Source organism: Homo sapiens, chromosome 16 (genome assembly GCF_000001405.40).
Source record: "Homo sapiens chromosome 16, GRCh38.p14 Primary Assembly".
Taxonomy (NCBI): Eukaryota; Metazoa; Chordata; class Mammalia; order Primates; family Hominidae; genus Homo; species Homo sapiens.
In genome coordinates this window covers 67406613-67427255 of record NC_000016.10, presented here as the reverse complement: position 1 = coordinate 67427255, position 20643 = coordinate 67406613, and the positions used below count along the sequence as shown (strand labels likewise).

General features: G+C 50.3%; 1 protein-coding gene and 1 long non-coding RNA gene across 7 annotated transcripts in view, besides 9 other annotated features; one reads left to right on the top strand and one right to left on the bottom strand.

The window, feature by feature from the left end:
* On the bottom strand, nucleotides 725-11353 carry LOC124903702 (uncharacterized). Its single transcript, XR_007065093.1, has 2 exons — nucleotides 11113-11353; nucleotides 725-1877 (listed from the first exon to the last, which is right to left on the bottom strand). It is a non-coding gene; the product is annotated as an uncharacterized LOC124903702 (long non-coding RNA).
* Nucleotides 2437-3031: an enhancer, noted in NCBI's record as "H3K27ac-H3K4me1 hESC enhancer chr16:67458128-67458722 (GRCh37/hg19 assembly coordinates)". NCBI's record gives its function as "activates a minimal SCP1, AML or CMV promoter by ChIP-STARR-seq in naive H9 embryonic stem cells {active_cell/tissue: H9 hESC(naive)}" and the evidence as "EXISTENCE:reporter gene assay evidence [ECO:0000049][PMID:30033119]".
* Nucleotides 5751-6322: an enhancer, noted in NCBI's record as "H3K27ac-H3K4me1 hESC enhancer chr16:67454837-67455408 (GRCh37/hg19 assembly coordinates)". NCBI's record gives its function as "activates a minimal SCP1, AML or CMV promoter by ChIP-STARR-seq in primed H9 embryonic stem cells {active_cell/tissue: H9 hESC(primed)}" and the evidence as "EXISTENCE:reporter gene assay evidence [ECO:0000049][PMID:30033119]".
* Nucleotides 5896-6190: a silencer, noted in NCBI's record as "tiled region #9078; K562 Repressive non-DNase unmatched - State 21:Repr". NCBI's record gives its function as "represses a minimal TATA promoter and a strong SV40 promoter by Sharpr-MPRA in K562 cells {active_cell/tissue: K562}" and the evidence as "EXISTENCE:reporter gene assay evidence [ECO:0000049][PMID:27701403]".
* Nucleotides 10233-10890: an enhancer, noted in NCBI's record as "H3K27ac-H3K4me1 hESC enhancer chr16:67450269-67450926 (GRCh37/hg19 assembly coordinates)". NCBI's record gives its function as "activates a minimal SCP1, AML or CMV promoter by ChIP-STARR-seq in naive H9 embryonic stem cells {active_cell/tissue: H9 hESC(naive)}" and the evidence as "EXISTENCE:reporter gene assay evidence [ECO:0000049][PMID:30033119]".
* Nucleotides 10233-11112: a biological region, named in NCBI's record as "H3K27ac-H3K4me1 hESC enhancer GRCh37_chr16:67450269-67450926".
* Nucleotides 10723-11112: a silencer, noted in NCBI's record as "silent region_7603". NCBI's record gives its function as "represses an Ori minimal core promoter by ATAC-STARR-seq in GM12878 lymphoblastoid cells {active_cell/tissue: GM12878}" and the evidence as "EXISTENCE:reporter gene assay evidence [ECO:0000049][PMID:35858748]".
* Nucleotides 10779-20643, top strand: part of ZDHHC1 (zDHHC palmitoyltransferase 1) — a 22326-nt gene continuing 12461 nt past the window's right edge. For 5 of the 6 annotated variants that reach the window (XM_024450247.2, XM_024450246.2, NM_013304.3 and 2 more), the window contains exons 1-2: nucleotides 10779-11085; nucleotides 19443-19489. In XM_024450247.2, coding sequence (XP_024306015.1) covers nucleotides 19481-19489 — 9 coding nt within the window. In that variant the 5' untranslated portion in view covers nucleotides 10779-11085; nucleotides 19443-19480. Of the gene's footprint in view, nucleotides 11086-17377; nucleotides 19490-20643 lie in introns of all 6 variants that reach the window. The other variant, XM_024450245.2, reaches the window with a different exon arrangement.
* Nucleotides 18780-19665: an enhancer, noted in NCBI's record as "H3K27ac-H3K4me1 hESC enhancer chr16:67441494-67442379 (GRCh37/hg19 assembly coordinates)". NCBI's record gives its function as "activates a minimal SCP1, AML or CMV promoter by ChIP-STARR-seq in naive H9 embryonic stem cells {active_cell/tissue: H9 hESC(naive)}" and the evidence as "EXISTENCE:reporter gene assay evidence [ECO:0000049][PMID:30033119]".
* Nucleotides 19666-20552: an enhancer, noted in NCBI's record as "H3K27ac-H3K4me1 hESC enhancer chr16:67440607-67441493 (GRCh37/hg19 assembly coordinates)". NCBI's record gives its function as "activates a minimal SCP1, AML or CMV promoter by ChIP-STARR-seq in naive H9 embryonic stem cells {active_cell/tissue: H9 hESC(naive)}" and the evidence as "EXISTENCE:reporter gene assay evidence [ECO:0000049][PMID:30033119]".
* Nucleotides 20553-20643: part of an enhancer, noted in NCBI's record as "H3K27ac-H3K4me1 hESC enhancer chr16:67439721-67440606 (GRCh37/hg19 assembly coordinates)", that runs on past the window's edge. NCBI's record gives its function as "activates a minimal SCP1, AML or CMV promoter by ChIP-STARR-seq in naive H9 embryonic stem cells {active_cell/tissue: H9 hESC(naive)}" and the evidence as "EXISTENCE:reporter gene assay evidence [ECO:0000049][PMID:30033119]".

The window sequence follows — 20643 nt, the reverse complement described above, 5'->3', positions numbered from 1 at the left end:
TCCCTTGGGTGCCTGCGAAGCCACGGCTGCCGGGTTTCCTCCGACCTCACTGCCTCTCCTTCTCAGCCTCCTTCTCCAGCTTCTCTTCCTTGTGGGTGAAGCTCTGGCTGTAGAGGCCTCACCCTCGGCCCTCCCCACACCATGAGCTCATCTTTCTACTCACATGCTGGCGACCTCCCTGCTTGCTTTCTGGCCAAGCTCTCCCTTTTGACCACAGGCCCACATGTCCAGCTGCCCCTGGACACTTCCCTTGGACACACATAGGCCCCTCAGCCTCAGCATGTCTAAAGCTGGTCCTGGCAGCCATCGTGCCCCACCACATCCTCAATCTTCATGCCATGCACTGGCCTCCAAATCTCTTGCTGTGTCCCAAGCCCTGGGTTGGGTGCAGATACCTCATCATAGCCTTTGTAGTAGTTGTCATTATCACCATTTTACATTCAAGGGAACTGAGGCTTCCAGAGGTGAAGGGAATTGCTCAAGCTCTCAAGTTCCACTTGCGTTGGAGTCTTGGACCAGCCCCAAGATTCAAACTCAGGTGTACCTGAACCCAAAGTCTGGGCTCTTGAGAACTGTGTTAATACGGGGCTGTGTTGGTCACCTGTGGCATCTTAGACTTCATCCTGAGGGCAAAGGAGAGCTTGGAATGGTTTTGAGCAAATGAGACCCCCATCCCAGGTGGACAGGAAATGGATCTGGGGAAGAGTGGAGGCTGACTAAATTATTATTATCACTCTTAAATTTTATTATGATTATTACTTTATTATTATTATTATTACTTTTAGTTAGAGATGGAGTCTTGCTCTGTCACCCAGGCTGGAGTACAGTGGCACAATCACGGCTCACTGCAGCCTTGAACTCCTGGGCTCAGGCGATCCTGCCATCTCAGGCCTCCGTAGTAGCTGGGACTACAGGCACTCACCACCACACCTGGCTATTGTTTTTTAAATTTTTTGTAGAGACAGGGGTCTCACTATGTTGCCCAGGCTGGTCTTGAACTGCTGGCTTCAAGTGATTCTTGAGGCTGGGAGTCTTGTTCCTGCATCCAGATGAGGGACGGAGCAGAGGTCTGTTCAAACAAACTGAGCTTGAGGCACCCCTGAACATGCAAAGGCTGAGCCCCAAGGCAGGTGGAAGCCTGTGGGCTCCAGCATGTTGCTCCTGTAGCGTGGGAGCCCTGGAGGTTGCCGACTCCCCTCTGATTACCCTAGGCATGAACTGAACTCGCCCCTGCCTCCACCATTTTTCAGAGCTATCCCATCTGGGCTGGGCACCTGGAAACCAGGCCCTTCAGTTACGGAACTGAAGGAAACCTCCCCTCCAGTTACCAGAGAGGGAGGCAGTAAGACACAGAAAGCCAGGAGCATCACTTGTGTTTTCAGCCTGTGTCTGGCACCCTCCTCCGAACTTTTACTGTCTCCAGGATTAAAGGCAGATGTTTGGGGATTAGGGTCCTTGAGTTTGGGAAACAGAGAGAGTATGTTCTGCAGGGCTTTCTGGACCAGTCCCAGGCGGAAAGCAAGCCTCAGCTGAGAGCATTTGGAGGGAGAGCTTGACTGACTCTGGATGAAATCCTTCTAGGATCCGTCTTGTATCCTCCAGTGTGGTTGTGTGTTTGTGGCATGCCAGTCCTTGTGCTTAGCTTGCTTGGTCTTTATTTTATTTACTATCCTCACGTCATCACTATGAAGTAGGTACTATCATTATCCTTATCCTATACATAAGGATAAGGCTACCGACCTTTTGCTATTTGCTGCTCGATTAAAAACAAGTCTCCCAACGACGGAATTGAGGCAACTTGATTGTTAAAACTCATTCCAAACTTGTCTCCTTACAGCTTCCATCACCCTGATTCAGGCCTTTTCTTGGCACAACAACTGCAAAAGATACAAAAATTAGTTGCTGTTGGCTGGCTGTTTTAATTTATTTGCATATACATAATTCAGCCCCACCCCTGGTGGCTAATACGCCCCCTGGGGAAGCTGTGGCTGTCTTCTGATTGCTGGTGGGGAGGACTGTGTGTGTTGTTTTTTTAAATAAACTGAAACCAGATGGAGGGGGGTTTTGTTCACAGCCTTGCGTACAATTTTCTCCAGCGAATTCCTTGAAAAGTCAACCACCTATGAGTGGTGCCTCTGCTCCGTGGAGGTCCCTCACCGCTGGTATGCAAATATCGAGCAGGGTTGATATTTCTCAAGAAGAAAAAGAGCTTCTTGGCCTGAGGGCTTTCCAGAATGCGGGGTCATCTCCTGGTTGCCCCCAGTTTTAGGTCTGTACTTACAGTTAATGTCCTCGCTCTCCTTCCGCCTTGTGTTGGGAGTGGGCTGGGGCGGGGGAGTCTTGGGCCAGGCTTGAGTCAAATCACCTAGACCAACCACTTGGTATAAAAATGTGAATTCCAGACCCCCACCTATACCCCATTTGCAGCACTGACCTCCGGCACGAGACCCCAACTGTCCAGCTGGGTTGATTTTTGCAGTCAGCGGAGGGGTTATTCTCCTAAAGGGGCCCAAGCCACTCCTGCTTCCATCCTGGGAAGGCCAGAAGCTGGAGGTGGTTATCGAAATATTTTTAACCGCCAGCCAGGTCCAAGGCTTTGTAATGCCCCGGGAGCCCTCATTAAGCGATTCCTTGTTCAGAGAAATGAGGCGAGTGTACCCACTGGTCACCCTGCCAGAGGTTTAGTATTTTTTCTTTGGAACGTGAATTGGGCATTGTCGTAGTGAAGTGTGACCCAGTCCCCAGGCAAGGGAGAGCACTTCTTTCCCAGCTCTGACCTTCATTCCTAGCTCAGAACACCTTTCTTTTGGATTCCAAGCTTTTTCAGATAATTGTGTCAGGTTACATAAGGCTCTGAGATATGAACACTCAAAGGAAATTCCGGTGAGAGCAGGTCTGAGAGGTTCCTGCACATAATTTGCTTTAAAGTATTCGAGGAAAACTTCAGGTGTCTGAGGCCAGCACATTTTTGAAATAAAATAAGAGCAGCCAACAACTTTGCATGGATGTGCCATTCCCCATAGAAATGAGCGAGCAAAAAGACAGATTTCACACTGAAAGGAAATACCCCTCCCCAGGGAGCCTGTGCAGGGGCGGGAGGGGGCTGGTGGGGGAGAGGCGGGAGTCAGTTGCAAGAGAACAGCTTGGACCAGGCTGCCATTGAAATGGAAATCTTCACCAACCAGGATCACTTTTTTCCCCCTTTCTGCATCTTAGGTGACACGTGGTAAACACAAGACTTCAGTTTTCCAAGAAACATAAAATAAAAACTGAATTACTGGCAGAGAAGCTTTAAAATCTTTGGTTCCTGGGACTCTGCGGGCACATTTTCCACACACCATGATTTTTATTTCATTTGCCTCTGAGGGGCGGCCCTCCAGCAGTTCTGTTGCATAAGGTACTGTTTCCAAACACCTTGTCCCCAACTGGTGACACAGAGTAAGTTTTATCTAGGTCTGAGAAGAGTTCTGGAAGAGTGACATCGTGTTCCAAGTCGCACCAGTTACAATCAACAGTAGGAAGGTTGCCAAAGATCTCACCAAGAAAGCTGAGAGAATATTTTAAATACTAAATGGCACTTCTTGCTTAAAGCATGAAGTGGTCGTAAAAACCACTTAACAGGGAAGAAAATTAATGGGAGGAAAGTGCCTTGAATGCAGCAAATTTTACAAAAAGCTTAACAAGGAACATGGAAAAAATAGATTTACTATGTTGAAGAGGTGGGATAATATAGGAAAGTCCATTTTTACACAAAAATAATTTGGTTATTTACACAAGGCTTCACAGAAGAATTCCTATAAGTAGCGCTATCCTTTTTTATTCTTCACGTGTTTGACACACATTTCTTTCTTTATGATTATTATTTTTAGAGACAGAGTCTTGCTTTGTTGCCCAGGCTACAGTGGTGCAGTCACTCATAGGTCACTGCAGCCTCGAACTCCTGGGCTCCAGGGATCCTCCCCTTCTCAGCCTCCTGAGTAGCTTGGACTACAGGCATGCGTCATCATGCACCGCTAATTTTTAAATTTTTTGTAAACACAGGGTCTTGCTATGTTGCCCAGGCTGGTCTTGAACTCCTGGGCTCAAACAATCCTCCCACCTTGGCCTCCGAAAGTGCTGGGATTACAGCGGCCTCAACACACATTTCTTGAGTGCTTAGTATGTTCTGGGCTTAGTAAGTGCTGGGATTACAGCAGCCTCAACACACATTTCTTGAGTGCTTAGTATGTTCTGGGCTCTGTGCTAGGGAAGCAATAGTAAACAATACAAACATTATTCCTCCCCTGTGGGAGGAATAATAATTCCCTCCTCTTCTGTCTGACTGGAGGGACAGGCCCTTATCAGATCATTACACAATCAAGGAGACCCAGAGAGAAGGAACGAGAAAGCAGAGTCCCACGGTGCTATGGGAATGATGGTCTCTATTCTGGGGACCACAGAGGGCTTTCCCAGAGGAAGTAAGTTTCCAGGTAGTGTGAGCTTCAAATGCAAAGGCCGTGGGATAGACAGAGCTGTGGTCAGCCTGAGCCAGGGGGCACGCAAGGTCTTGGAGACTGCGGTGGCCACAGTGAGGAGGAGGTTTCTATTCCAATTTCATGGTATATGGAAATACCTCTCCCTAAGGAGTGGGGAGTGTTGTTGAGGGTTGTAAGCAGGAAGTAAAAGAATCAGCTTGGCGTGGATTTTTTAAATTTTGTTTTTGTTCTAAGACAGCCACAGGCTGTAAGGAGAATGGACTGATAGGGGTGGGGACGGGGACAGGGAGGGCCCCCGTGGAAATCAAGAGCCAGTCAGAAAGCCAGGGCAAGAGATGCTGGTGGCCATGAAGACACGCCAAGTGGATGGGCTGAGTCATCCAGGGCCCATTGGAGAGGGTACTGTGACCCAGACGAAGTGGGCCCAGAGAGCGAGAGCTGTGGCTGATCATCTCCCACCCAGTCTAATTTAATAATTAAATTTACTTCCATTCGTTGATGATGCGGACAGCATCATTTCCTGGTAGAAAGACAAGGACGGTCTGGATGGGAGGCACCAGTGATTACTACCCATCGAGCACTCTTTGGGTGCTCTATATGCATGGCCACATTTTCAGGCCTCATCACAGCCCTAGGCAGTAGCTATTGTTACCCCCATTTCAAATACAAGCAAATTGAGATTATTAAAGTTGAAGAATTTATGGCTGGGTGCAGTGGCTCACGTCTGTAATCCCCAGCACTTTTGGAGGCTGAGGCGGGCGGGTCGCTTGAGGCCAGGAGTTGGAGACCAGCTTGGCCAACATGGTGAAACCCTGTCTCTACTAGGAAAAAAAAAAAAAAAAAAAGCAAAACAAAAACAAACAAGCAAACAAACAAAAACAAAAATTAGCCAGGCATGGTGGTGGGCACCTGTAATCTCAGCTACTCAGGAGGCTGAGGCAGGAGAATTGCTTGAACCTGGGAGGTGGAGGTTGCAGTGAGCCGAGATTGTGCAACTGCACTCCAGCCTGGGTGACAAAGCAAGATGCCGCCTCAAAAAAAAAAATTACCCAAGGTCACCATCTTATAACTGGCACCATGAAGATTGAACCACTAACCTGCCCTGGGACAGGTGAAGAGTGCCCGGAACCCTGGGATCACACTGGCTCTAATTATGGACGTATCTGTTGGTTCAGGCCCAGGGTGGGCTGATCCAGCTTTGTCCCTGTGGAGTCACCTCTGGCAGCTCCCAGGAGCCCTGTAAGTCAGCTCACATGTGTGTGTGCACACCTGGAAAACCACAATTGGCCTTTTTCTCCCTGTGGCCCTTGGCTGTTCTATCCTGGGCAGACCTCCCTTGCGAATCACTGGCTGCAGCTCTGGCTAGGAACAAGTCCTGCCCAAGGGGCTGACTTCTATAAAATGGTCTCAAGTTTTCATAGAAATTGGCCAGGTTGGGGAGGGGGTGTTGTCGGGAGGAGCTGGAACAGCACAAGTTAAAGAGAACCCTGTGGGAAGAAGCCTGAGGGTGAAAACAGATGTTGCCAGTTCCAGGAGCTGCAGAATCGTCACAGAGGACAGGAAGAAGCTCCACATACCAGAAGCCTGCCCAGCAGGGCATTGGAAGCCACACTTTGTCATTTCAGTTGATCCTAAAGGCAAAAGGGAGCCCTGGAATCTCTTAAGCAAGGCTGATGAGGTGGTGTTTTCACATTTAGAAAGATTTCTCTGGCACCTGCCAGGCAACGTGTGACTTTCCTCAGTCGGTGATGCCCTGTGCAGTGTCAGCTTCTGGATTGGGGACCACACAAGGATGACAGACTCAGAAAGAGCATGATCAACTTGAGGTCAGGAGTTCGAGACCAGCCTGGTCAACCTGGTGAAACCCCAACTCTACTAAAAATACAAAAATTAGCTGGGTGTGGTGGTACAGGCCTGTAATCCCAGCTACTCAGGAGGCCGAGGCAGGAGAATTGCTTGAACCTGGGAAGTGGAGGTTGCAGTGAGCCAAGATTGCGCCACTGCACTCCAGCCTGGGTGACTCCGTCTCAAAAAAAAAAAAAAAGCATGATCAAACTGCCTGTGCTTTTCAAAAGCAGATTTGGGGTGAGAGAATCATCTTCTCACAGAACCTGGCTTGGAGTCATGCAAAAAGATGTCAAGGGAGGCCAGGCGCCATGGCTCATGCCTGTAATCCCAGCATTTTGGGAGGCTGAGGTGGGTGGATGGCTTGAGCTCAGGAGTTTGAGATCAGCCTGGGCAACATAGCAAGACCCTGTCTGTATCAAAAGTACAAAAAAAAAAAAAAAACAAAAAAAACCCCGAGCAAGGTGTGATGGTGTATGCCTGTAGTCCGAGCTACTCAGGAGGCTGAGGTGGGAGGATCGTTTGAGCCCAGGAGACGGAGGCTGCAGTGAGCCAAGATCACGGCACTCTGCTCTAGGCTGTGTGACAGAGAGAGAACTCATCCCCTGCCCCCCCAACCACCCCCCTCCCGCCCGCTTAAAAAATAAAAGATGTCAAAGGAATCTGAGCTGTCTCTTGGATTTTTGTTTCAATTGAAAACAGCTTTCACTGGGCATATATATGTGCACTTAACCCTGTTTGCAAACCACTGTATCCATTTCCTATTGCTGCTGAAACAAATCACTGCCAATTGTGTCATCTTGACAGTTCTTGAGGTCAGAAGTTGGAAATGGGTCCCCCTGGGCTAGAGTCGAGGTAACAGCAGGCTGATTCCTTCTGGAGCCTCTAGAGGAGGGTCTGCCCCCTAGCCTTTTCCAGCATCTAGAGGCTGCCTGCATTCCTTGGCTCAGGCCCCTTCCTCCATCTTCAAAGCCCACAGTGTAGCACCTTCAAATCTCTCTGACCTCTGTCGTTACGTGGTCCTTCTCCCATGTGACCCTCCTGCCTCCCTCTTATAAGGACCTTTGTGACTACATTGAGCTCACTCAGATAACCTGGGATAATCTCTTCCATCTTGAGATCTTAACTTCATCTCATCTGCAAAATCCCCTTTGATGTATCACATAACACATTCAAAGATTCCAGGGATTAGGGCGATGACATCATTGTGGCGCTATCATTCAGACTACTACCTCCTCTAACAAAGAGAAGGAAGGATAGTCTGGCAACTGAGAGGAGGATGGGCCGGAAGTGGGCAGGCTGATGTTAGGGAGAACTGGAGGCTGCTGCAGGCTCAGCAAGGAAGATGCTGGTGGTCTGGGCTGGGGTGGAGCAGGAAGAATGGACACAGAATGTGTTTCAGAGTGAGGGCAGCCTGGTCACAGGCACTATCTGGTTTAGGTGGGCAAGGACTAGCAGGAGAGACATGGGAAGATGCCTAAGTGTACAGATGGGCTTACTGGGTAGATGGTGGTGCCCTTCAGAGGGCCCAAGGGGAGGAGCAGATTTGTGGCAAGGACAAAGAGGACATGTGGGGATGTGTTACATCCCAGACACCAATGGGACATCCAGGAGAGAAGCCCCTGAGTCAAGTGGATCCAGGGTCTTTTGGGTCCCTCCCCTTATTATGGGAATATATGGATTCATCTTTCACTTTGTTTTTTAATTTTTATTTGTATTTGCATTTATTTATTTATTTAAAGACAGAGTCTTGTTCTGTCGCCTGTAAGGAGTGCAATGGCACAATCTCGGCTCACTGCAACCTCTGCCTCCTGGGTTCAAGCGATCCTCCCATCTCAGCCTCCCGAGTAGCTGGGATTACAGGCGCAGACCACCATGCCCGGCCAATTTTTGTATTTTTGGTAGAGACAGGGTTTCGTCATGTTGCCCAGGCTGGTCTCAAACTCCTGACCTCTAGTGATCTGCCTGCCTCGGCCTCCCAAAGTGCTCAGATTACAGGTGTGAGCCACCATGCCCAGTCCCACCTTGTTTTTTAAAATATTTATTTATTTATTATTATTTTTTAAAGAGATAAAATCTGACCGGGCACAGTGGCTCATGCCTGCAATCCCATGGTGGCAGGCAACTGTAATCCCAGCTACTCGGGAGGTTGAGGCAGGGGAATCGCCTGAACCCGGGAGGTGGAAGCTGCAGTCAACTGAGATCGCACCACTGCACTCCAGCCTGGGAGACAGAGCGAGACTCCGTCTCAAAAAAAAAAAAAAAAGAGAGAGAGAGAGAGATAAGATTTTTTTTGTGTGTGACAGAGTCTCACTCTGTCACTCAGGCTGGAGTAGAGTGGTGCGATCTCGGGTCACTGCAACCTCTGCCTCCTGGGTTCAAGCCATTCTCTTGCCTCAGCCTCCCGAGTAGCTGGGACTACAGGCACATGCCATCACGCCTGGCTTACTTTGTACTTTTAGTGGAGATGGGGTTTCACCGTGTTAGCCAGGATGGTCTCGATCTCCTGACCTCATGATCCACCTGCCTTGGCCTCCCAAAGTGTTGGGATTACAGGTGTGAGCCACTGAGACCAGCTGAGAGATAAGATCTTACTTTCACCCAGGCTGGAGTGCAGTGGCATGATCGTAATTCACTGCAATCTTGAACTCCCGAACTCAAGTGATTCTTTTCTCCTGCCCCAGCCTCGTGAGTAGCTGGGACTATAGGCACAGGCCACCAGGCCCAGCTATTTTTTTTCATCTTTTGTAGAGATGGGAGTCTCTCTATGTATCCCAGGCTGGTCTCAAACTCCTGGCTTCAAGTGATTTTCCTGCCTCAGCCTCCTTAAAGTGCTGGGATTACAGGTGTGAGCCACTGCATCCAGCCTCATCCTTCACCTTGATTTCTGGGTCATGATCTCTGTTTGACCCGAAGTTTTCCAATTCCAGATAAGAGTTAAGTAGTCAGCTTGTACTCTGAAGCCAGAATAGCATTGATATTTATCTCACATTGAGTTTGAGTTTATCAGTCTTGAAAACAAGAATTTAAGTAATAGGTTATGTCACTTGCACAAGGACCCACACACCTGTCATGTGACAGAGAAGGAGTAGTTATGTTGCCTAATAAAACATACAATAAGTATGCTTGTGACTTATACATTTTAGAGATAAGGATGTTTTCTTTCCCTATCTGTCATATCTGCCTTGGAGATGCGCACAGGACAGATAGCAGAAGACAAAGTGTCTTCCTGTCTTTTGAGAAAGCCTGAGCTCATAGAAGATTCCATTCTGAGTGTCCACAAGGAGAAGAGGAGAGGGGACTTTTAGGGAAACCAAGTTAGCAGGGAAGTCTCCCAGGTAGAGAAAGGGAAGGGAGGCTGCAGGCCATGGAGCAGAGGAAGCAGGTGTCTGTCCCTGGCAGCCCCAGGGAGAGGCAGGGGCCTCAGGCAGGGATGGCCTCATAGAGCCCAAACCTGAAAATCTTTGTGGACTGGAGCAATGGTTGTGGCCTCAGTACCAGACAAAACCCTGACCAGAGAGTTTTTTGCTTATTTGTTTTTGATTGTTGTTTTTTGCTATAGGAAAACATGAGTCCTTTGGAATTACCTAGCTAAAAGGAGTACAGTGGAGACTGAGACTGAATTTCCCGGCCGGGCAGGGGCTCACGCCTGTAATCCTAGCACTTTTGGAGGCTGAGGTGGGCGGGTCGCTTGAGTTCAGGAGTTCGAAACCAGCCTGGGCAACATGGCAAAACCACGCCTCTACAAAAAAATGCGAAAATTAGTCGGGCGTGGTGGTGTTCGCCTGTAGTCCTAGCTACTCTGGAGGCTGAGGCGGGAGGATCGCCTGAGCCCAGGAGTTCGAGGCTGCAGAGAGCCGTGATCGTGCCACTGCACTCCAGCCTGGGTAACAGAGACCAGTTTAAAAAATAGAAAAAGACTGAATTTCCCATCAGCCTGGAAGATTGGGGCTTGATTTTTGCTTGATTTAAAGGCAATAAATAAATGAGATATTTTGTGCTGCTTATTTTAAGCTCTTACGCTTCTCGCTTTATATTCTGGGGTACCTGCATTTTTAGTGGTGTAATTTATTTGTCTAGATCTGTTTGCCTCTTAACCTGTAAGCTCCCGGAAGGGTCGGGATATCATGGATGTTCCAGCACATACGCTCATTGAAGTGTGCAGGTTGACTGGGGTTGGGGGAGGTCTCTTCTTGAGAGCGGTGGTCTCAGGATAGAAACTGGAAGGGGGCGCTTTTGAGATGTTAGGATTTCGGGGAGACAAGCTGTGACTCGGGAGTAGGGAAAAGCGGATTTTCTAGACGAAAGGTTAGGAAGAATCTGGGAATGGGCCGACTGGGGCACCAAGAGGGTCCCTGGCAAGCCCCGCCCTGGCCGGGGGACCGGCGCGGAGTGACGCAGCGCGGTTTGGCCGCTGTGGGGCGCCGTAGCCCGCGCCGTTGTCAGGGGAACGGGCCCAGCGCCGGACGAGGCCCAGCCAGTCTGGGTCTGGCCTGGCCGCCCCTCCAGCCTGCTGGAGCCGGAGCCGGAGCCGGAGCCGGAGCCGGAGCCGGAGCCAGAGCCAGAGCTCGAGGACTCACCGGCCCAGTCTCCGTCCGGGATGGGGCCCCGCTCCCGGGCGCGTTGCCGCCCAGTCCCGGGGACCGTCCCTACCGCGAGGGTCTGAGGCGCGGCTGCCCCGGGGAGGGTGGAAGGCCAGGCGTGGGGCCCGAACCTCTGGCTGACTTTGGCAGGGCCCATCTGGCACGGCCTCCGCGGCGCGCAGGTGAGGAGTCCCCGCCCGGTTTCTCACCTCGGAGCCTGGCTTGAGCCACGGGGTAGCGGATGCTGCCGCCTGGCCGGCTTTGGGCTCGCTTCCGCCTGGAGCCGGTGGCCTGAGTTCCAGGGCCCCGGCAGAGCGCGGGGCTTCCTTTTAGCATGCATCAAGTTCACAGATCTTCCTTGAGCGCTTACTCTTTGCCAGGCTCTGTGCCAGGCGTGGGCACAGAGGACTCCCAACAGACGTGGTCTGTCTCCAGAACCCAGAGCATTAAGGAAGGGGGCTGGGAAGCGGATGTCATACATGACTAAAGTGATTTCAGGTCGGGTTAGGCTCTCTGGTATTGAAATGGAGGGGTTGGTCATGGAGGGTCTGTTTTAAAAGGAAACCATGGGAAGAGTTTTAGTTTTTTCTTTGAGACGGAGTTTCGCTCTTGTCACCCAGGCTGGATGGAGCGCAGTGGCACGACTCGGGTCATTGCAACCTCCGCCTCCCGGGTTCAAGCCATTCTGCTGCCTCAGCCTCTGGAGTAGCTGGGATTACAGGCGCCCGCCGCCACGCCCGGCTAAGTTTTATATTTTTAGTAGGGACGGGGTTTCACCATGTTGGCCAGGCTGTTCTCGAACTCCTGACCTCAGGTGATCCACCCGCCTCGGCCTCCGAAAGCGTTGGGATTACAGGTGTGAGCCACCGTTCCCAGCCAATTTTTTATTTTTTTGAGACAAGGTCTCCCTTTGTCACCCAGGCTGGAGTGCTGTGGTGTGAACATGGGTCACCGCAGGCTCCGGCTCCCGGGCTCAAGCGATCCTCCCGCCTCAGCCTCCCAAGTAGCTGAGACTACAGATACCCGCCACCACGCTCAGCTAATTTTTTAAGGTTTTGGTAGAGATGAGGTCTTACTATTTTGCCCAGGCTGGTCTCGAGCTCCTGGTCTCAAGGGATCCTCTTGCCTCAGCCTCCCAAAGTGCTGGGATTACAGGTGTGAGCCACTGCAAGCGGCAGAAGAGTTTTTTATTTTTTGTTTATTTTTATTTTTATTTTCCAGATGGAGTCTCGCTCTGTCACCCAGGCTGGACTGCAATGGCACAATCTCGGCTCACTGCAACCTCCACCTCCCGGGTTCAAGCGATTCTCCTGCCTCAGCCCCCCAAGTCTGGGATTACAGGCGCCTGCCACCACACCCAGCTAATTTTTGTATTTTTAGTAGAAACGGGGTTTCAACATGTTGGCCAGGCTGGTCTTGAACTCCTGACCTCAGGTGATCCAGCCACCTTGGCCTCCCAAAGAAGAGTTTGGATGAGTTTCACGTTTGAAAAGCTCACTTCACTCTGGCTGCTGAGCAGCATGGTTGTGACAGACATACCGGGAAGTCAGTTGAGGGCCATCCTAGTTCTGCCAATCTAGCTGTGCCTCCTAAAATAACTCATTTAGTGTCTCTGAGCCTCAGTGTCCTCATGATGGGAGTGGGTGTTCTGTATGTTTTTTATGAGGAAGTGAGAGGCCAGTCACATCTGAAATCAGTGACTACAGGGATCTACAAGAACAGTTGGAAATGATAGGACCTTCCTTAGAGCTCTATGAGGATTGAATGAGTGAATTCCACTGAAACAGTGCCTGGCACAGAATAAGTGCATTCTAAATGCTGGTGTTGGTTATTATCATGCAAACACTGTAGGAGAGCGATGCTGGAGGTTTGGATTGGGGTAATGACAGCAGAGATGGTAAAAAAGTGGCTTGACTTCCTTTACTGAAAGAGAGCTGGGTTCAGACACGGGTGAGGGGTGGTCTCTGCTTTTGTGGAACTGGTGGTTCACTGTGGGAGACGGGTTTGTAAACAGATAATCACCATGAGATGCAGTAAAAGCAACAGTGGTGCTTAATTAGCCAGATTGTTTTGTTTTGTTTTTGTTTTTCTTTCTTTGTTCTGTCACAACGTTGTTTTTAATGACTCTTGTGTGGTGGGTGTTCCCCAAGGCTGGCTCCTGCAGTCATGAGTTGATTTCCTGGTTAAAGTCAATAACCTTGGCCTCTCTTCACTGGCCTTGTTTCTATTCTGTGTTACTCCCTCCTACTTGTCCCCTTTCCTTGGCTTCATTTGTATCCCAAACAATTTGCAGTGGTTGCTTCAGGAGGAGAATGGCACAGAAAATGTTTGCAAACCATGTCAACTCAGGAATAATTGGAGTTTCAAGCTTTTCTTGCCATAGCATCAGACTTTTTTTTTTTTTTTTTTTTTTTGAGACGGAGTCTCGCTCTGTTGCCCAGTCTGGAGTGCAATGGCATGATCCCGGCTCACTGCAAACTCCACCTCCTGGGTTCAAGAGATTCTTCTGCCTCAGCCTCCAGAGTAGCTGGGATTACAGGCACCCACGTCCATGCCTGGCTAATTTTTGTATTTTTAGTAGAGACGGGTTTCACCATGTTGGCCAGGCTGGTCTCGAATTCCTGACCTCAGGTGATCTGCCCGCCTCGGCTTCCCAAAGTTCTGGGATTACAGGCATGAGCCACTGGGTCCAACCAGCATCAGACTTCCACCTGTTGTTTATGAGAGAGAAAGCAAGGGCCCAGCCACATCTGAGATCAGTGACTTGAGAGGTCTTTGGGAACAGCTTGAAGTTCCAGTTTAATTTTTGGTAGTTGTGTGATGCGCATCCGTTAGTTGAGCTAGAGCTGCTTCTCAGAATTTTAAGGCCAGAGACTTCTCTGGCACCTGTGGGGAATTTTAATAAACAAAGTACTTGTCCCTAAAGAATCTTTTGTAAATGACTTTTTGCAGTGTAAAAATCTGTGTACCGTGAAGTGTTTTCTTTCTAGCTTCCCTTTAGGTAGTTCAACTGGGCATCTGTTAAATCTCAGTGAAAATTATTTCAAAAGCAGATCCTGGGGGAAACGGAAAGTTCATTTAGGAATACTCATAGATAGAAAATCTCCCGACTGGGCACGGTTGTTTACACCTGTAATCCCAGCGCTTTGGGAGGCCAAGGTGGGAGGCTTGCATAAACCCATGAGTTTGAGGTTACAGTGAACGATGATTGCACCACTGCACTCCAGCTTAGGCAACAAAGCAGGATCCTGTCTCTTAAAAAAAAAAAAAATAGGCTGGGTGCAGTGGCTAGGAGGCCGAGGCGGGTGGATCACCTGAGGTCAGGAGTTCGAGACCAGCCTGGCCAACATGGTGAAACCCCGTCTCTATTAAAAAAATTCAAAAAGTAGCCGGGCGTGGCGGCGGGCACCTGTAATCCCAGCTACTCGGGAGGCTGAGGCAGGAGAATCACTTGAACCCAGGAGGCAGAGGCTGCAGTGAGCCAAGATCGCACCACTGCACTCCAGCCTGAGCAACAAGAGTGAAACTCCGTCTTAAAAAAAAAAAAGTGAAAGAAAAGAGAAGAAAATCTCTCACATGGAAACCACAAGTCCTCTAGCAAAAGGACAAGATGCATGGGAACAAAAGTTTCCTGTGGAGTGCACTTTCCCTTCGGGTTCTGGGAGTCTCAGGTAGCTGAGTTGGCTGTGGCCAAGGATGAAGCAGGTCCTGCCTAGCAGCTCCTCTGTTGTGCTGTCTGGTTGTGTGATTCCAGCTTTGACAAGATCCCTAACAGTTCATAGGAAGTTCTGTGGCTTTTCCTCATAGCTCTGCAGCCAAGCGTCTTAGAATTGCTTTCAAGAGTGAGAAAACATTTCACTAAAACCAAGCCCCCTTGTTAGGCAGGAATTCTTTGTCTGGCATGATAACAGGGCTCTAGATCACACGAGTGTGTTTCATCCACAAGGCAGCTCAGTGGGGCCAGGAAGGCAGGAGGTGACATCCCCTAATCATTTATTATTAGACATACTTTTTTTTTTTCAAAAGCAGTACATGCTCATGATAAAAATATATATATATTTGAACAGTTTGAAGGAGTACCAGGAAATGCAATTTCTGTCTTACAGCTCTTGGACCACTAGGTCTCATTCCTAGGGGATGCTCCTGTGTTTGGTTTCTTGCATTTCATTCTGGAGAAAATCTGTGCGTATAGGAATGTAGATATCTATCCATCCCCGCAGCCTTTTTTTGTTTTTTTTTTTGAGACAGAGTCTCGCCTGTTGCCCAGGCTGGAGCGCAGTGGCACGATCTCGGCTCACTGCAACCTCTGCCTCCCGGGTTCAAGCAATTCTCCTGCCTCAGCCTCCCGAGTAGCTGGGTCTACAGGCCCGCACCACCACGCCCAGCTAATTTTTGTACTTTTAGTAGAGATGGGGTTTCACCAGGTTGACCAGGCTGGTCACGAACTCCTGACCTCAAGTGATCTGCCCTCCTCGACCTCCCAAAGTGTGGGGATTACAGGCGTGAGCCACCGCGCCCGGCCCCCTTTGTTTTCATTCACTTGGTAGCGCCATCTACAAGTGTTCTTCATCTTGCTTTTTCACTTAATTGTGTATCAAAGATTACTTCATCCCTTTTTTTTCTTTTTTTATCCCTTGCTTTTGATGCTGCCTAGCATTTTATTGTATGGATGTGCCATAGTTTATTTGTATTGTCTTTTGTCCTTTATTATTGCAAACAATGCTGCAGTAAATCTTTGTGAGTATATGTATAAGATAAATACCTAGAAATGGAATGTCTGGGTCAAAGGGCATATATGTTCTAAAGTTTCGCCAGACTTGGATATTGCCAAATTGCTTCACTGAACTTTGTTGAAAGATGAGTACAGAAGAGATCCAAAGAAGTGGATCTGTGAAATTTGCCCCAATGTTCCTCAGTCTGTGAGTGGCAGCTCGGGAACCAGAAAAGGGCTCTACTCCAGGCTCAGCCCTCTTCCTTTGATCCCACCTGCGTCTCCCCATTGGCAGTGCAGGGCCCTCCAAGCACCTGCTTCAACCCCGTCGCTTTCTCCTCTGACCCCATCACCCTGCCCTCCCAGTTCCTTGTCCTCTCCTGGCAAACCCTCTTTAGTAATTAACTTGATTCTGAAGCCCTCAGGTAGCTTGCAGGAATCCAGGGATGCCCGCAGTCTCTCCAGGGCTGGTACTTTTCACCTTGGTGTGGTTCCTTTGAGAGTGCTAGGCATGAATTTCAGAACAACATTCCTAAATGGTTTTTTTTTTGTTGGGAGCAGAGGTGGGCAGGAGGAAAGTGGGTCACTCATGTAACTATAATGTAGTTCGTAATGAGAACTTAAAATGTTAAGATTTCCTTCATTTGACTTAAGCATATAAATTAAGGTACGCAGGCAGGGCGTGGTGGCTCATGCCTGTAATCCTAGCACTTTGGGAGGCCGAGCTGAGTGGGTCATCTGAGGTCAGGAGTTCTTGAGACCATCCTGGCCAACATGGTGAAACCCCGTCTCTACTAAAAACATAAAAATTAGCTGGACGTGGTGGTGCATGCCTGTAATCCCGGCTACTTGGGAGGCTGAGGCAGGAGAATCGCTTGAACCTGGGAGGTGGAGGTTGCAGTGAGCTGAGCTCATACCACTGTACTCCAGCCTGAGCGACAGAGTGAGACTCAGTCTAAATAATAACAATAATAATAATAATAATAATAATAATAATTAATTAAGGTAGCCTAACCTTATATTGAAAACACCATCTAAGGCTTTTAGCAAGTGAATGTTAATGTGAACAGATTACTGTCATCCTGCCAATGGCTTTCACCTTGTGGGGGATAAGGGAGGGGCCTCCACAGCCCCTCCTGCCTGCCTCAGAAGCCAGGTGGGTCCTTGGCTTACCCAGGCCACGGGACACCCTCCTTCCTGTCTTCCCTTTATCCCGGCCAGCCTGACTCTCTATGGTTTGTTCTGTGGCAGTAGAAGGTACATGAAGAATGTTTTCCCAAGGCTGTGTACCTCTGAGCCTTGCAAAGATGCAGCTGGAGGTAGCCAGGTGGGCAGCAAGGAGCTTGTGGGCTTCACCGCCACCTTCTGACAAGTTTCTCCCAAAGCACAGGGCTGCTGGGCTCCCTGCTGGGCCACTGTGGTGCCGCTTCCCCCATGCCCTCCTCCCCACTGGCTAGAAAGTTTTCCAAAGCACCCTGAGCCATTGGGTCACTCTCATGCCTTCAGCCTGCTTTGCCTCCATGTGGCTCTTCCAGCAGTGCCCATGTGTCCTCACCTGGCCTCCTAGACCCCTGTGATCTGAGCCCCGCAACTCCTTCAGTCCCATCTCTCACTGGGTCCTGCTCTCCATTCCCTCCTTCCCCCACCCCCCACCCCCGCCACCTGTCCACCCTGTGTTCTGCCACATTGGATGGCTGGCCCTTGCATGGGCTGCCAAAATGCCCATTCACCCACTGCCCTGGTATCTGTTCGTGTCCGTCCAGGTCCCAGAAGAGAAGCCCCTGAGGGCAGGCACCCGGTCTCATCTGTGTTTACATCCTAAGTGCGCAGGCTGGGCTCCGATAAGTGCTGACTGGCCAAGGTCAGAGGGTGCCAGCTGGCTACGTCGTTGGAGAACAGAGCCACATGTCTTTCAATCTGGTCTCCTAGAGAAGTGCTGAGAGGGGAGCAACAGCCAGAGAAGTCCCGGGGTCTGGTGACAGTGCTTGGTCCCATCCATGGGCCTGGGAGCCCCATCTTGGATTCTCTCCGACCTCCCAGCCCTTTTAATCAAAATCTTTTGGGCCGAAGGAATTTGTAGCCACCAACTCTGCAGGAGAAAATGTCGTCAGTGAAGAGTGGGCTGGCCTGGGCATGCCTCTGGGCCAGCCTGGGCGTCTATACCAGAATGCTGCCTCTGCTGAGGGAGGTCTGCCTGGCAGCACCATCCCCACATCCACAGCCTCAGACAAGTGCTCCCTTCCTGGGCCTGATTTGGAGTATCGGGGGTATCCTGATTTGGAGTATCAGGGGGTATCCGATTTGGAGTATCAGGGAGTATCCTGATTTGGAGTATCAGGGGGTATCCTGATTTGGAGTATCAGGGGGTATCCTGATTTGGAGTATCAGCGGGTATCCTGATTTGGAGTATCAGGGGGTATCCTGATTTGGAGTCAGAGCCATCCCCAAGGCTGTAAGTGGCGGGCGCCTGGCTGCAGATGGTGACTCCTCCTGCCTCAGGAGTCAGGGATACAGCAGCTCTGGGGGTGCCTGTGGCCACTGCCAGGCAGTGGGGCCAGATCAGCTGCATGCGTCTGTTTTGCTCTTTGGAAACTCCTGCAAGGTGTAGGGTTGTTCAGGTTTGGGGATGGCAAAAGGAGAGCCAGAATTTAGGAATCCAAATTAATGGATTCCTTTCAAAGTAATTGCCCTGGTGATGGTGTCACTGGGGAGCTGATGTGCAAGCCACAGAGATTGGCCCCAGAGCAGAACCATCCAACCCAATCATATTCACAGGGCTTGACCTGATGACCTTTGACAATTCCACAATACAAGGACAAAGATTTGCTATCTTTGGGGACATGCAAAAGAAAGTGAGGGCTGGGATAGTGGGTCATGCATGTAATCTCAGTGCTTTGGGAGGATAAAGTGGGAAGATCGCTTGAGCCCAGGAGTTGGAGACCAGCCTGGGCAACATAGTGGGACTGTCTCTGCAAAAATAAAAAATAAATAGCTAGGCATGGCAACACGCCGCTGTATTTCTAGCTACTCAGGAGGCTGAGGCAGGAGGATCACTTGAGCCCAGGAGATTGAAGCTTCAGTGAGCTATCATTGCGCCACGGCACTCCAGCCTGGGTGACAGCGCAAGACCCTGTTTCAAAAACAAAAAACAAAACAAAACAAAGCAAGGCCGGGCACGGTGGCTCACGCCTCTAATCCCAGCACTTTGGGAGGCCAAGGCTGGCGGATCTCTTGAGTCTGGAGTCCAGGAGTTGGAGACCACCCTGGGCAACATAGTGGGACCCTGTCTTTACAAAAAAATAAAATAAAGTAGCCAGGTGTGGTGGTGCGTGCCTGTACTTCCAGCTACTCTGGAGGCTGAGGTGGGAGGATCACTTGAGCCCAGGAGGTCAAGGTTACAGTGAGCTGTGATGGTGCCACTGCACTCCAGCCTGGGCAACAGAGCAAGATCCTGTCTCAGAAGAAAAAAAAAAACCCTAAACCCAAAACCCAAATACCACCAGTTGAATCCCTGGGGGAAAACTAAGTCCTCCATTTAGCTTTGAGATGGGACAACTCAGAGGTCACTTCAAATAATGCTTGGCTTGGCCTGCAGGAGGCTCTGAGCCTCAGGTGGGCTGAAGGGCAGGGTGGCTAGGAGTGAGTGTCTGGCAGTCAGGGTGGTAGCCAGCCGGCAGAGGGAGATGGGCTGCGGGAGGCATGGGTTCACGACCCTGCAGAAAGAGGGCAGGGCTGGATGGATGGAAGGCAGGAGAAAGCAGGCCAGATGGCTTAGGGTGGACCAGGATTCCACACCATTTACTGTGCCCACGTTTCCTTTTATTTCAGCTGTTTTCAAGTCAGCAAACATTTACTGAGGATCTACTATGTACAAGGTACAATTTTGGGTGCCTGGGGGAAGGGACATAGGGGACAGAGATGAATAAACCCCACCCAGCACATTTGCTGCCTTTGGGGAAAGTTGTCCTAATGAGGGCAGACATGAGGATTGCAAAGCGTCCCAAATGGCAAAGTAATTTGCCCAACAATGACTTAGCATAAGGGCCCCCTGACTCAGGGCATCAGGGAAAGCTTCCTGGATGAGGCAACCCTTGCAGTTGGCTCTGAAGATCAAGCCTCATTCTGTGGATTGAGAAGTGAGAAAGGTGATCCAGGAAGATGCACTGAGTCGGGGTCTGCGGCACCCTTTCTGCTTAGGTTCCCTGTCTCATGGGCAGGGGCTCCTGAAAGGAGAGTTCAGCTACCAGGGTTTTAGTCCCAGCTCCTGGCCTTCCCACCATGAGCGCAGAGCTGGCCTGTCTCCCAGGTGTGGCGCTGCCTGCCTGAGCTGTTGTCCCATCTTGGGCCCATATCCTGGGGATGGGGGTCTTCCTCCTGTAGCCTACCCCTTCTTGCCTGGCATTCATCCCTGGACCCTGGGCCAGCTGTCCGGCTAGAGGGTGGCGGGTGGAGGGGGTGGTTGATGCCATCTGGTGGTCTGGCTCTGAGTCCAAGGGCGTTAGCCCACCTTTCTGTACAAAACTGTACACCAGGCCCAGATTTACTTAGAGAAACGTGGTCATTTCTGCTGCTGAAGGGAACTAAAGAGGAATCCTTCCCTTCCTCACATGTGCTGGCCCCTCCCCAGCTGAGAACCCTCAGGCAGCATGGGGCAGAGCTTCAGACTCCCCCAGTCCTAAAGGGATTTTCTGTCCACCGTGGGGGAGAGGGCAGATCCTCCTTCTGGGCACCCCATTCCCCGTTTCCCTGAGCAAAGGATAGCGGGGGTGTCTGACACTTGCATTTGGACCTCAGGAAGGAGGTGACTAATCCTAACAGAATCAGCATGTGTTCTCATCACTCTGGCCCCAGCCTGATATTGTTACCAGATGAGAACATGTCTTATTGGGTTTAACTGTGATGGCTGTGAAGACAGCACTTTGAGTTACAGGCAGCAGCACTGTGTCCTGAATAAATCCTGGGCCCTCCTACCTTGTCCTGGCCAGTCTAGGGCCAGGGTTTGCTTTGGGCTTTGAGACAGCAGCCCACT